General features: G+C 39.4%; 1 long non-coding RNA gene across 2 annotated transcripts in view; it reads left to right on the top strand.

Annotated features, from left to right (window-relative positions):
- LOC124900881 (uncharacterized) overlaps positions 1 to 13855 on the top strand; it is a 50716-nt gene extending 36861 nt beyond the window's left edge. For both annotated transcript variants that reach the window (XR_007058513.1, XR_007058512.1), the window contains one exon: positions 10157 to 13855. This is a non-coding gene — a long non-coding RNA (uncharacterized LOC124900881). The remainder of the gene's footprint in view (positions 1 to 10156) is intronic.
- The last annotated feature ends 937 nt before the right edge of the window (positions 13856 to 14792 follow it).

Below are 14792 nucleotides of genomic sequence, written 5' to 3'. Positions count from 1 at the left end.
TTTAATGATCACCATTCTAACTGGTGTGAGATGGTATCTCATTGTGGTTTTGATTTGCATTTCTCTGATGGCCAGTGATGGTGAGCATTTTTTCATATGTCTGTTGGCTGCATAAATGTCTTCTTTTGCGAAGTGTCTGTTCATATCCTTTGCCTACTTGTTGATGGGGTTGATTTTTTCTTGTAAATTTGTTTAAGTTCTTTTTAGATTCTGGATATTAGTCCTTTGTCTGATGGGTAGATTGTAAAAATTTTCTCCCATTCTGTAGGCTGCCTGCTCACTCTGATGGTAGTTTCTTTTGCTGTGCAGAAGCTCTTTAGTTTAATTAGATCCCATTTGTCGATTTTGGCTTTTGGTGTTTTAGACATGAAGTCCTTGCCATGCCTATGTCCTGAGTGGTATTGCCTAGGTTTTCTTCTAGGGTTTTTATGGTTTTAGGTCTAACATTTAAGTCTTTACTCCATCTTGAAATAATTTTTGTATAAGCTGTAAGGAAGGGATCCAGTTTCAGCTTTCTACATATGGCTAGCCAGTTTTCCCAGCACCATTTATTAAATAAGGAATCCTTTCCCCATTTCTTGTTTTTGTCAGGTTTGTCAAAGATCAGATGGTTGTAGATGTGTGGTGTTATTTCTGAGGCCTCTGTTCTGTTCCATTGGTCTATCTCTCTGTTTTGGTACCAGTACCAGGCTGTTTTGGTTACTGTAGCCTTGTAGCATAGTTTGAAGTCAGGTAGCGTGATGCCTCCAGCTTTGTTCTTTTGGCTTAGGATTGTCTTGGCAATGTGGGCTCTTTTTTGGTTCCGTATGAACTTTAAAGTAGTTTTTTTCAATTCTGTGAAGAAAGTCATTGGTAGCTTGATGGGGATGGCATTGAATCTATAAATTACCTTGGGCACTATGGCCATTTTCACGATATTGAGTCTTCCTATCCAAGAGCATGGAATGTTCTTCTATTTGTTTGTGTCCTCTTTTATTTCGTTGAGCAGTGGTTTGTAGTGCTCCTTGAAGAAGTCCTTCACATCCCTTGTAAGTTGGATTCCTAGGTATTTTATTCTCTTTATAGCGATTGTGAATGGGAGTTTACTCATGATTTGGCTCCCTGTCTGTTATTGGTGTATAGGAATGCTTGTGATTTTTGCACATTGATTTTGTATCCTGAGACTTTGCTGAAGTTGCTTATCAGCTTAAGGAGATTTTGGGTTGAGACGATGGGGTTTCTAAATACACAATCACCTCTGCATCAAATCTCCTTCTGACTTTCTCTTATAAGGACAACTGTCATTGGATTTAAGATCCACCTGGATAATCCAGGATGATATGATCTTGAAATCCTTAATTGCATCATCAGACTCTTTTCCCAACAAAAGTCACGTCCACAGGTTCTAGCAGTTAGGACATGGACATATCCTCTGAGTGGCCATCATTCAACTCATTACACTTTCTCAGAGGGCCATTATGAGGATTAAATAAAATAGTTCATGTAAAAATGCTTCACATAGTCCCTGAGGTGTAGAGATTTTCCAATAAATAATAGTTATTATTTTTACAGGAGCTCGAAACAAACAAACAAAACTAGCCAGGTGTTGTGGCATATGCCTGTAGTCTCAGCTACTCAGGACGTTGAGGTGGGAGGTAAAAGTAAAAAAATTAAATAGTAAAAGGAAAGGTCCTACCAGAGATTAGAATATGCTGCAAGACAAACATAATTAAAATACTGCAGCATTGGTACAAAAATTAATAAATAAATGAAAGGAAGACAATAGAAAGTCTAGAAGAAAATTGGTATAGACCTATACATTTTGGCAGCTGTTACGCATTATATTTCAAGTCAATAAGGAAAGGTTATGATTGAGACTACTGGTTATCAATTGACACAAACAAAAAATTAAGGGTAGATTCCCACCTCAAACCAGAAAAACTACAGATGAATTATAGAGATAAAAATAGATTACAAAATTATAACAATGTTAAAGGAAATTTCATGAGAATAGAAAATATTTTTAATCTCAACATTGGAAAAATCTATGCTAAACATAGGCTAAGAATTCATAAAGAAAAAAATGACAGATATGTCTATATAAAAATCTAAAGCATCTATGTCAAAAACCCACATGAAAAAGTACAATGAAAAATCATGGGAAAATTATTTACAATACAGCATTAATCTCTATGATAATATCAAGCACATAAAGATCAATAAAAGATAACAAATCTGATAGAAAACATGTAATGACAGAAAATTATACTTAGTATCACATAAAACTAGTTAATAAGGCAGATTAAATTAAGACAAATGTAATTTTTATTCATGAGATGAGGACAAATGAAAAAGACTGATAATATTCAGCATGGAGGAAGAGGTAAGAGAATAGGAACTTTCAAAAACTGATAGTGGGAATTCAAATTTCAGGGCTTTTTTGGTGGGGCATTTGCAAGTATATGTCAGATTTAAATATAATGTAACCTTTCACCCAGTAATTTTACGTATGAGTAGGGAGAAAGAGCACATATTATGTACAAAGGATATTCATTATAGTCACATGTATATACAAAGATTAATGTAAAATAGTATTCTTTAACAGTGAAGAATTGGATTTAACAAAAATATATACTGTCTGAAGGCTGGGGGCGGTGGCTCACTCCTGTAATCCCAGCACTTTGGGAGGCCGAGGCAGGCAGATCACTTGAGGTCAAGAGTTCGAGACCAGCCTGGCCGGCGTGGCGAAACCCCATCTCTACTAAAAATAAAAATTAGCTGGGCATGGTGGCAGAAGCCTGTAATCCCAGCTACTTGGGAGGCTGAGGCAGGAGAATCACTTGAACTTGAGGAAGAGGCTGCAATGAGCTGAGATCATGCCACTGCACTCCAGCTTGGGTGACAGAGCGAGACTCTATCTCAAAAAAAAAATTATGGTACACATGATATGTAATACACCACAGCAATTAAAAAGACCGAGGCAGATATATATGTGTGTGTGTGTGTGTGTGTGTGTGTATAAAATGCATATATATAATGCATATATATATGTATTGACATAAAAAGTTTTCACAGATAAGTGGAAAAAAGGCAGGTCATTTAATAGGATATGATCACATTTTTGGAAAAAGCAGCATTTTATATTTGAACTGTGTGTGTGTGTGTGTGTGTGTGTGTGTGTGCTGATGTCTAGGAAAATGTTTGGAAAGCACAAACAGTGCTCACATATGGTCAGGGAAGTGGAATCGAAAGAAGATATGGAAGGAAAGAAAGTGTAACTGGGTGCTCAAGGAGGTTATTTTAACTTAAAAAAATCTAGACGTTAAATATTTGATATAAATATATATATTATTCTCCCATAGAATGTATTTATATCAAACTATTATGTAAAATACATTTTTAAAAGTGAAAAATCTGTCATGTGAGTTCTTATTGTTTTTGTGATCATTTTTCATGTAACTAGTATCTCCTCAGCATCACTATTTTAGGGCTACCCTTTCTTTTGGGTATTATGTAATCTTAGGTGTAATCTTATGTAATTTTGGGTATTATGTAATCTTAGAGGGGGCATGGGGGAAGCCCATCCCTGACAAAAATTACATCCTTGCTCACAACAGTATAGTATTTAATGAACCACACAGAGTTGGACGTTTTTGCTAGTTTCAACTTTATTGTTATAAAGGACACTTAGCTTGAATGGTGTGGACAAGTCAAAACTACTAAGAACAGAGAGAAAGAAAATGTTCTGGAAGGTGAAGCCACTGTTTGTACACATTGCCTTGCTGTAGGCTTCAGGCATCAGCAAAGGCCGTGGGTCATCCCCACTAGAGAGGGTCAGACAAACCCTATCCCTCTTTTCACGCCATGGACCATCCCACACTTGTTGAAGTTAGAGACCACTAGTCCTAAACACCACTGAGTCAATTACATGAAGAATAAAACTAATATCTAATGATTCAGGATGATTAAGGGACATTTTTATTATTGTCAATGTTTTTACTTGAAAAGGCAGGAAAATGTTTATTTTAGAAAAACATCCGTCCAAAAAGAGGTAAAAATTTAAGCTTCTGACTCTTACATTTTTTAGTTTTAGATATCTATTACAAATTCGTTTTTCCAGCCTGATTTCTATGCTAAGTGCATCAGATATCAAGGTTTTAGCAAACAGGATACTTCCAACAAAATCTGATTTTATAAAGAGAAATTAGGGCCAGGAGAGATGGCACGCTTGTAATCTCAGCACTTTGGGAGGCCAAGGCAGGTGGATTGCTTGATCCTAACGGTTTGAGCCCAGCCTGGGCAAGATGGTGAAACCCTGTCTCTACAAAAAATACAAAAAATTAGCTGGGCATGGTGGTGTGCCCTGTGTCCCAGCTACTTGGGACAGGCTGAGGCAGGAAGATTGCTTGAGCCCGGGAGGTGGAGGGTGCAGACAGCTGAGATCATGTCATTGCACTCCATCCATGGTGACAGAGCGAGATCCTGTCTCAAACAAAACAAAACAAAACACAAAAAGAGAAATACATTAAGAATAAAAACTAATATAGTAAAAAGTTATCCATTCATCTTTAATTTTAGATATGGAGCTTTAGAAGTTAAATGCCCAAAGCCTTGGGAGCCCACCCCTAGCATCAGTGTGCCCTGGATGTGAGGGATAGAATCAAAGGAGACGATTTTGGAGCTGTAAGAGTTAATGACTGTTGGGTTTCAGACTTGCATGGGGCCTGTGGCTTCTTTCTTTTGGCCAATTTCTTCCTACTGGAATGGGAGTATTTACCCAATGCCTGTACCTCCATTGTATCTTGGAAGTAGCTAACTTGTTTTTGATTTTACAGACTCATGCATGGGAGGGACTAGTCTTGTCTCAGAGGAGACTTTGGACTTTTGAGTTAATGCTAGAATGAGTTAAGACTCTGGGGATTATCACAAAGGCATGATTGTGTTTTGAAATGTGAAAAGGACATGAGATTTGGGAGGGCCAGGAGCAGAATGATATGCTTTGGATCTGTGTCCCCACCCAAATCTTATGTTGACTTGTAATCCCCAATGTTGGAGGTGGAGCCACGTGAGAGGAGACTGGATCATGGGGGCAGATTCTTCACGAATGGTTTAGCACCATCCTCTTCATACTGTCTTCATGGTAGTGAGTGAATTCGCCAGAGATCTGGTTGTTTAAACGTGTGTAGCACCTCCCTCTCCCACCTCTCTCTTGCTTCTGCTCCCACCATGTGAGATTTCTTGCTCCCCCTTTGCCTTCCACCATGATTGGAAGGTTCCTGAGGCCTCCCCAGAAACAGAAGCTTCCATGCTTCCTGCACAGCCTGCAGAACTGTGAAAGTACTTTGCTTGAAAATATTTTAATTACTTATACAGAGAAGATGCTTCCAAAGAGACAAATGAATCCATGATTATATAATAACTTTAAAATGAAAGAACGTCAAACATCCCTGTCTGACAGCTTTGAAGAGAGTAGTGGTTCTCCCAGCACAGAGTTTGAGATCTGAGAACGGACAGACTGCCCCCAAAGACAAAAACCACATGATTATCTCAATAGATGCAGAAAAGGCCTTTGACAAAATTCAACAGCCCTTCATGCTAAAAACTCTCAATAAATTAGGTATTGATGGGATGTATCTCAAAATAATAAGAACTATTTATGACAAACCCACAGCTAATATCATACTGAATGGGCAAAAACTGGAAGCATTCCCTTTGAAAACTGGCACAACATAGGGATGCCCTCTCTCACCACTCCTATTCAACATAGTGTTGGAAGTTCTGGCCAGGGCAATCAGGCAGGAGAAAGAAATAAAGGGTATTCAATTAGAAAAAGAGGAAGTCAAATTGTCCCTGTTTGCAGCTGACATGATTGTATATTTAGAAAACCCCATCGTCTCAGCCCAAAATCTCCTTAAGCTGATAAGCAACTTCAGCAAAGTCTCAGGATACAAAATCAATGTGCAAAAATCACAAGCATTCCTATACACCAATAACAGACAGGGAGCCAAATCATGAGTAAACTCCCATTCACAATCGCTATAAAGAGAATAAAATACCTAGGAATCCAACTTACAAGGGATGTGAAGGACTTCTTCAAGGAGAACTACAAACCACTGCTCAACGAAATAAAAGAGGACACAAACAAATAGAAGAACATTCCATGCTCTTGGATAGGAAGACTCAATATCGTGAAAATGGCCATAGTGCCCAAGGTAATTTATAGATTCAATGCCATCCCCATCAAGCTACCAATGACTTTCTTCACAGAATTGAAAAAAACTACTTTAAAGTTCATACGGAACCAAAAAAGAGCCCACATTGCCAAGACAATCCTAAGCCAAAAGAACAAAGCTGGAGGCATCACGCTACCTGACTTCAAACTATGCTACAAGGCTACAGTAACCAAAACAGCCTGGTACTGGTACCAAAACAGAGAGATAGACCAATGGAACAGAACAGAGGCCTCAGAAATAACACCACACATCTACAACCATCTGATCTTTGACAAACCTGACAAAAACAAGAAATGGGGAAAGGATTCCTTATTTAATAAATGGTGCTGGGAAAACTGGCTAGCCATATGTAGAAAGCTGAAACTGGATCCCTTCCTTACAGCTTATACAAAAATTATTTCAAGATGGAGTAAAGACTTAAATGTTAGACCTAAAACCATAAAAACCCTAGAAGAAAACCTAGGCAATACCACTCAGGACATAGGCATGGCAAGGACTTCATGTCTAAAACACCAAAAGCCAAAATCGACAAATGGGATCTAATTAAACTAAAGAGCTTCTGCACAGCAAAAGAAACTACCATCAGAGTGAGCAGGCAGCCTACAGAATGGGAGAAAATTTTTACAATCTACCCATCAGACAAAGGACTAATATCCAGAATCTAAAAAGAACTTAAACAAATTTACAAGAAAAAATCAACCCCATCAACAAGTAGGCAAAGGATATGAACAGACACTTCGCAAAAGAAGACATTTATGCAGCCAACAGACATATGAAAAAATGCTCACCATCACTGGCCATCAGAGAAATGCAAATCAAAACCACAATGAGATACCATCTCACACCAGTTAGAATGGTGATCATTAAAAAGTCAGGAAACCACAGGTGCTGGAGAGGATGTGGAGAAATAGGAACACTTTTACACTGTTGGTGGGACTGTAAACTAGTACAACCATTGTGGAAGACAGTGTGGCGAATCCTCAAGGATCTAGAACTAGAAATAGCATTTGACCCAGCCATCCCATTACTGGGTATATACCCAAAGGATTATAAATCATGCTGCTATAAAGACACATGCACACGTATGTTTATTGCGGCACTATTCACAATAGCAAAGACTTGGAACCAACCCAAATGTCCAACAATGATAGACTGGATTAAGAAAATGTGACACATATACACCATGGAATACTATGCAGCCATGAAAAAGGATGAGGTCATGTCCTTTGTAGGGACATGGATGAAACTGGAAACCATCATTCTGAGCAAACTATTGCAAGGACAGAAAACCAAACACCGCATGTTCTCACTCATAGGTGGGAATTGAACAATGAGAACACTTGGACACAGGGTGGGGAACATCACACACTGGGGCCTGTTATGGGGAGAGGGGAGAGGAGAGGGAGAGCATTAGGAGATATACCTAATGTAAATGATGAGTTAATGGGTGTAGCAAACCAACATGGCACATGTATACATATGTAACAAAGCTGCACGTTGTGCACATGTACCCTAGAACTTAAAGTATAATAATAATAAAAAAGAAAGAACATAGCTTTGGATCTCAGTGTGGCTACCTCATGATGTCAGGGTGCCTTAAGCTGATCTTGCTTTCCCATTTGCTATTGCAGTAGCTGCTTAGCAGATATCCCTGCTTCCTTCACTGTCACGTTCCCCGTATCCATATGCTTTCTAGAGCACAAAAGCCAGAGTCACTTTCCAAGACTGAAATATGCAATTTCACTACACATCTGCTTAAAATCCTTCAGTGGTATCCCACTGTTCTTAGATTGTGATCTGGAAGCTTTCGTCCTGGCTAGGAAGACCTCGCGGGAATCTCATTTCTGCCTACCTCTTTACCCATGGGCCGAAGCTTTCCCCTAGTGTCTGAGACTCAGTGTGTGTGCGCATGTGTGTATACATGTGTATATAAGGAAGTCACAGATGAGGCTTTCTAGACCTTTTCTTTACTAGTCATGTGGGTTGTATTTCGCCATTAAAAAGTAACTTAACAAAAATTATTTCGGCATCTTAACAATCTTGTGAGGTAAACAGTATTTTCGATTTTTCCTCTTTCATAATTAGAAAAAAGAGGCTTGGAGATTCAGTTGCTTAAGGTCTCCAGTTGGTGCATAATGAACTTGGAATTCAAAGCAAGTATTATTAGCTCTGTATTCTTAGCAGCAAGCAATGATAAACACTTATTAACCAATTTCTATTTATTTTTTATGGATTTTAGCAAAATTCATAAGATATATGTTCATTATCTTCCAAGATACTTAGAATTGGAAAGAGGAGATACAGCTAACTACGAAGCAAAGTAGAATAACATTAGGGTTGCGATCTGGGAAAAAAGAAAAGACTATAGAAGCACAGATTAGGGGATAATTTTGACACAAATATTGGAAACAACTCAAGAGAAATTTGCTTTTAATTTAACTTTTGCACCATATTGTTCAATAAACAATGTAAGGTAAAATAAATTAGTAGGGGAAGCACAACAAGATAGCACAAATTAAACTTGCCATCAGCAAATAATGAAAAATGTGGGTTGGAAATAGAAAAGAAAGCCAGAAATCATTTGAAATCATGCAGATAATGACCACATCTTCCACCAGTGGGTCACAGATTGGCTTTAAACTTTGTAGCAGCAAACTCATAAAGAGAAAACGGATTAGTTACATGCTTCCTAACATCCACAAGATAACAAAAAATCCTTATTGCTCGAGACAAATGTCACTCCTTTAAGAATCAGAAGAAATTACTCCTGGAAATTTGCCATGAAGAGAAAATTGTAATGTACTCCACATGCTTGAAAATACCTTCTGAGTTAGTGAGAGTCCTCAACAGGACGAATGTGACTGGGTCATGTATTGTAAGAACAAATAGGCTGGTGGTGGCATGTGGAAGCCTGGATGCGGAGAGGTCAAGAAGCTTCTGTAGGATACTAGTACAGTTCAGCGCCGGTTTCCGATTCTCAGCTGATCTAGCTGATCCAAGAGTGGATTTTAGGAAAAGCTGGAAGAATATGGAGATTGCTTTAGGAAAGCAGCATTTAAGTGAAGCCTGGAGAGACAAAGCCAAAACTGCATAAAAGCAGATTGAGGGAGTGACATGAGCAAAAGGGGGGAAAAGATTCTTTGACTGGAGCAAGGTCAGTCGCTCGATGTGGTGAAAGCCGTGGTTCTCAGCACAGCCCACACGTTAGAATCACCCGGAATGCTCCCCGCAGAGCCCAGACCTTAGAATCACCCGGAATGCTCCCCGCCGAGATTCTGACTCAGTCGGTCTGGGCTGGGTCCTAGGCATAATTATTTTATTTTTATTTTTTATTTTTTTGAGATGGAGTCTTGCTCTATCACCCAGGCTGGAGTGCAGTGGCGTGATCTTGGCTCACTGCAACCTCCGCCTCCTGGGTTCAAGAGATTCTCCTGCCTCAGCCTCCTGAGTAGCTGGGATTACAGGCATGCACCACCATGCCCGGCTAATTTTTGTATTATTAGTAGAGATGAGGTTTCACCATGTTGGCCAGGCTGGTCTTCAACTCCTGACTTCAGGTGATCCTCCTGCCTCGGCCTCCCGAAGTGCTGGGATTACAGGTGTGAGCCACTGCACCCAGCCATAATTTTTAACAGCTCCCAAGGTGGTCCTAAAGTGCACCCGGGAATGGGGATGCTGGGCCAGCACTGTGTTCCTTAAGTGTGGACAGTGGGATGGCATTCGGGTTATAAGCCGTGACAAGTAAGCTGGGCTAGGTGTGCAAGGTCTTGCATATTGTTCTTAGGAAAATAACTCTTAAAAGCTCCTCAGTGACACTGTCACCACAGCCTAACAATTTTCTTAATTGCTTTTACAAGTGATAACATTTGCCGTTTAGCGCTGGGATATTGCCTCAAAAGGTCATGACTTGGTTTTTAAATAACAATTGTTTTCTATTTTTCTAGGTGCAGCAAGTTGCCTTTTTAAAATGTGCACTTTGGCCGGGTGTGGCAGCTCACTCTTGTAATCCTAGCACTTCGGGAGGCCGAAGTGGGAGAACTGCTTGAGGCCAGGAGTTCGAGACCAGCCTGGGCAACATCGTGAGACCACATCTGTACAACAAATAAAATTTAAAAAAATATTAGCCAGGCATGGTGGTGCATGCCTATAGTCCCAGCTACTTGGGAGGCTGAGGCGGGAGGATCACTTGAGTTCAGGAGGTTGAAGCTTCAGTGAGCTGTGATCATGCCAATGCATTCCAGCCTGGGCAACATACAAGATCCTGTCTCAGAAAAACAAATACAACATACACCTTCTCCTCTGTTGTCTCTGTCATAGGAACTAACCGTGCTGTACTCTGTGCTGGTTATGGGTCTCACTCTTTATTTCCTTTCCCTCCAGCCATGCAAAGCCTTTTGTGCTATTCTGTCCAAGTTGCAGTCAGCAACTTTAGTGCACAGGTGATAAAATTACATCATATTTCAGGTAAAACAATCGCATGATTTTCTTGAGTTCCTTAAACCATATTTTGGAAGAAATATGAAGTCTAATAATAAATCATCCAGACACAGCAGGAACAGTGTCAGCAATTTTAGTGAAATTTGTGTCTCCTGAGTTTACTAATGAAAATGAATGGGGCAACTTCCACGTTCCCACAAACTCTTCAAAACCTTTGCTACTTCTCAATAGACAGCAGTTGTAATTGAATAGAACACTGAGATTGATGTTAGGATTAAAGGTTATGAGCTATGAAGACAGCTGAATACTTAGTTCCATAAAGTCTATGAAAGGCAGGGTATTGAAATGGAATTTTATGGGCTTTTTTATTTGTTGCTTTGTTTCTTATGTGTCCAAGGCTAATTATACTAATTAGATCAGAAGGCATGAATGGGTACTACAGAAAAAGCCATTCAGGAAAAAAATAATAAAGCATCAGAAATTGCTGTGTTAGTTGATAACTAGAGGGAGGCTGAAGAGCAGCTTCATCCTTCACCAAGCCCTGTACATATATTACATGGAAATGGAATTCTTCTGAGCAGAGGTCATATTCTGTGCTCATGCTGTTACATTATCTTGGTCATTGAATTTGAGGGCTAAAAATGAAACAGAGTAAGCTCATAAAGAAATAAAATGTAGTATATAAAGGATCAGGAAATCCATAAAGTAGAACCAAAATCATATCTGAGTTGAATATTTGTCAAAAATTTCTGTGAGATGTCAGCAGTCCTATAAAAGTAAAAAATTTATTTGCCACATCACCTCCAAAAGCAATCATAAAAGCATCTAGCTGCATAACAAGTGCATATGTTATCTGGAGAATTATTCTGTTATGGCCCAAGCAGTGTCATCATACCATTGTCACACAATGGCATTGTGGCCTCGTTGAATGGCACAGCAGAGAGCATTGTTGAGAGAGAAATTGCCGGCTCCGATTCACTGGCTGCTTCTTCAGAAAATTCACTCGTTCATTCGGCAAGTGTCTCTTTAGCGCCTCCCTCATCCCAACACTGTGTTAGCTCACTGGAGGGAACAGTGCAAAGATGCGGGTCATTATGAGAAGTTATGAGAACTCAGGGAACCCTTTATCCAGTTCTTGAAGGATTAAGGAAGTCTTTGGGAAGGAAGAAAACTAAAAGCTTGGAATGTGATCAAGTGGTTGAGTAGGCATTAGCGAATGAGGTGATGTAGGCAAAGAGAGTAGCATATTTAAAACCTAAAGGCAGAAAATGGTAGGTTCAGGTAGAGTTTATGTTTCTGCTGAGAGGGAATTGTGTCAAAAGAGGATTCTAAAGGAATGGCAGAAACGTGCTTATGAAGGACTTTCTTAGCCACATTCAGGAGTATTGGCTGCATCCTGAGGCAGAGAGAAGCCAAGACTGGTATTAAACTGGCAGAAATGTGTGACTTATTCAAGGAGTTACTCTTGAGAAGCCACTGATCATAGTGGAGAAAGTACATTGGAGACATAAAGAATTTGCTTTTTAACCCCAACAGGACTTCTCAAATTACTATAGAATATACTGTTATACTTAAATGCGTGTGTCAAAGTGCAATCTTCAACCAAAATGGGAATTTGTTTCTTGAAGATGTTTTGAAGAAGCTGGTAGGTGAGTGAGATGGACCGTAATGCACTACCTTAAAAATCCCAAGGAGGGCCGGGCGTGGTGGCTCACTCCTGGAATCCCAGCACTCCGGGAGGCCGAGGCGGGTGGATTACTGAGGTCAGGAGTTGGAGACCAGCCTGGCCAACACGGTGAAACCGCGTCTCTACTAAAAATACAAAAAATTAACTGGGCCTGGCCAACATAGTGAAATCCCGTCTCTACTAAAAATACAAAAAATTAACTGGGTGTGGTGGTGTGCGCTTGTAATCCCAGCTATTCGGGAGGCTGAGGCAGGAGAATTGCTTGAACCCAGGAGTCAGAGATTACAGTGAGCCAAGATCAGGCCACTGCACTCCAGCCTGGACAACAAGGGCGAAACTCCGTCTCAAACAAACAAACAAACAAACAAAAAACACAAAACAAACAAACAAAACACCAAGTAAGCAGCAATCTGGTCTGAGAGGCGGAAAATCTGTATTTTTTGGAATATTCCTCATGTGTTAATATATGATATTGTTGTTAACTTAGTGTGATGTTTACTGAAAGTCGCAAGTCAGCAATAATAGATATGTATTGAGTGGCCACTATGTGTCAGGCACTGATCTAAGCACTTGGGAAGCATCCACAAATACCCCTTTCCTCCCGGAACTTATTAATACAGTCAAATAGAAAGCATTTGTTTCCAATAAATAAAAATGATAAGTGTAACAAATCAGTAAATGATGTGATAATTAGGTGATACGCACATACCTGCTATGGAAGAAGGAAAACAATAGAACATGATCAGAGCAATTGGGAATTTAAAATGAGTTGTAATTTTAAACAGGATGGACAGGTTGAGTCTTATTGGGACGGTGCATTTAAGTGACAATGTGAAGCAGGTGAAGGAATTTGCCAAGTTGATCTGGGGAAAGGAAGTCCTGGACAGTGAGAAGAGCCAGTGCAAAGCCAGTGCAGAGAGCGTGCCAACTTTGTCCGAGGAGATTGAGGGGCAGGGCAGCGGCAGATTAAGTTAAACTGGTAATGGGGAGGGAAAGCTCCTCAGGCCTTGTGTGGACTTTGTCTTTTATTCTGAGTGATGCTGAGAGACAGCATCTGATTTAGGTCTTACCTGGATCACTCTGACTGCTATGTTTAGAACAGTCTTTAGGGCAAAAAGGAGGCAGAAGTCACTTTGGTGGAAGTGAATGAGGTCAGATGTGGGATATGTGCAAACTTCAGGTAACTAGGATTCCATAATGGATTGGATGTGGGGAGTGAGAAAAGCAGAGTCTAATATGACTTCCAGGGAGTTTGGTCTCAGGAATAGAGAAGAATGAACTTGTCATCAACTGAAATGGGGAAGGCTGCAGGTTTAGGGGGAAAGTCAGGACTGGGTTTTGGACACCTAACACGTAAGGTTTCTGTTTAGACATTCCAGTGGAGATGTCAAATAGGCAGTTGATTGTATAAAACTTTGAGAAAAAATTGTATGTGGAGATGTGCATTTGTGTTACTGTGATACAGAGAATAACAGAAGCCATTAATCTAAACAGATTATTAATTTGTACATAAATTAAAGTTAAAAGGCTGTCATTGTAATTCCTCAAATGATCTTAAACATTATAACATAAAGTACCAAGTAGAGAGGGATTCTTTTTAATACAAAATATTATATCTTGGCTTTGATTCTCTTAAACATTTTCACGTAGTTCTTAATCTTCCTCATGTGGAAAGATAGCCTACTGAAAAAGATTTACCATCTCAGTGAAACGAGGTTATCCAGAATACAGGTTATAAAACTCAAACCTTGATGGGATCCTAAGACATGTCAATATCTTTTCCATTTAATTTTAAAGATTTTTGAACTTGATGTATTTCTTTATATAGGGGACCTAATTTTTTATGGCTACTTAAAATGGCAGCAGACTGAATTTTAGTATTTCACTTGAATTCTCAACCCTTGAGGTTATTCAGCGAACATGTCTTTAACAATGGCATTTCCTGAAGTAGGAAATGCTGGAGAAAGTCAGGCAGTTCCTCCTGGTTGAGATTGATTCAAGGTTCCTATGAGATATTTCAAGAAAGCGTTTTGATTTCAAGAAGTCTGAATGTTTGAAGAGTGTTTCAGGGCTAGATTAAAAATTTGGTCATCAGCAGCCACAGAGAGAAGGTATTTAAAACCATGAGGTTGAATGAGGTTATCTGAGGAGAAACTAGGGGAAAAGGAGGGCACATATTTCACCATCTCTACAAAGGAAGGATGTTTTAAAATTCATGAAAAGAAGCCTTGCCTATGTTTCCATAAACTACCTTAGAAGAATTGTTTAGCTTGGTTGTCATGACTATTTACCTTTTCAATTGAGTTGCAACTGAATTAGTTATGTAGTAATTTATATTGAATGACCTGATTCCACTATGACCCAGTTGTGCTTTTTAGTTCATCATGAAATTAGGATGGATTAAAACTTACACATTTGGTCTGAAAAGTCATTTTGATTTGCTTAGATTTTAAAAA

This window comes from Homo sapiens, chromosome 4, assembly GCF_000001405.40.
Source record: "Homo sapiens chromosome 4, GRCh38.p14 Primary Assembly".
NCBI lineage: Eukaryota > Metazoa > Chordata > Mammalia > Primates > Hominidae > Homo > Homo sapiens.
Note: the sequence above shows the minus strand (reverse complement) of the source record. Positions and strands in the feature narration are given on the sequence as shown.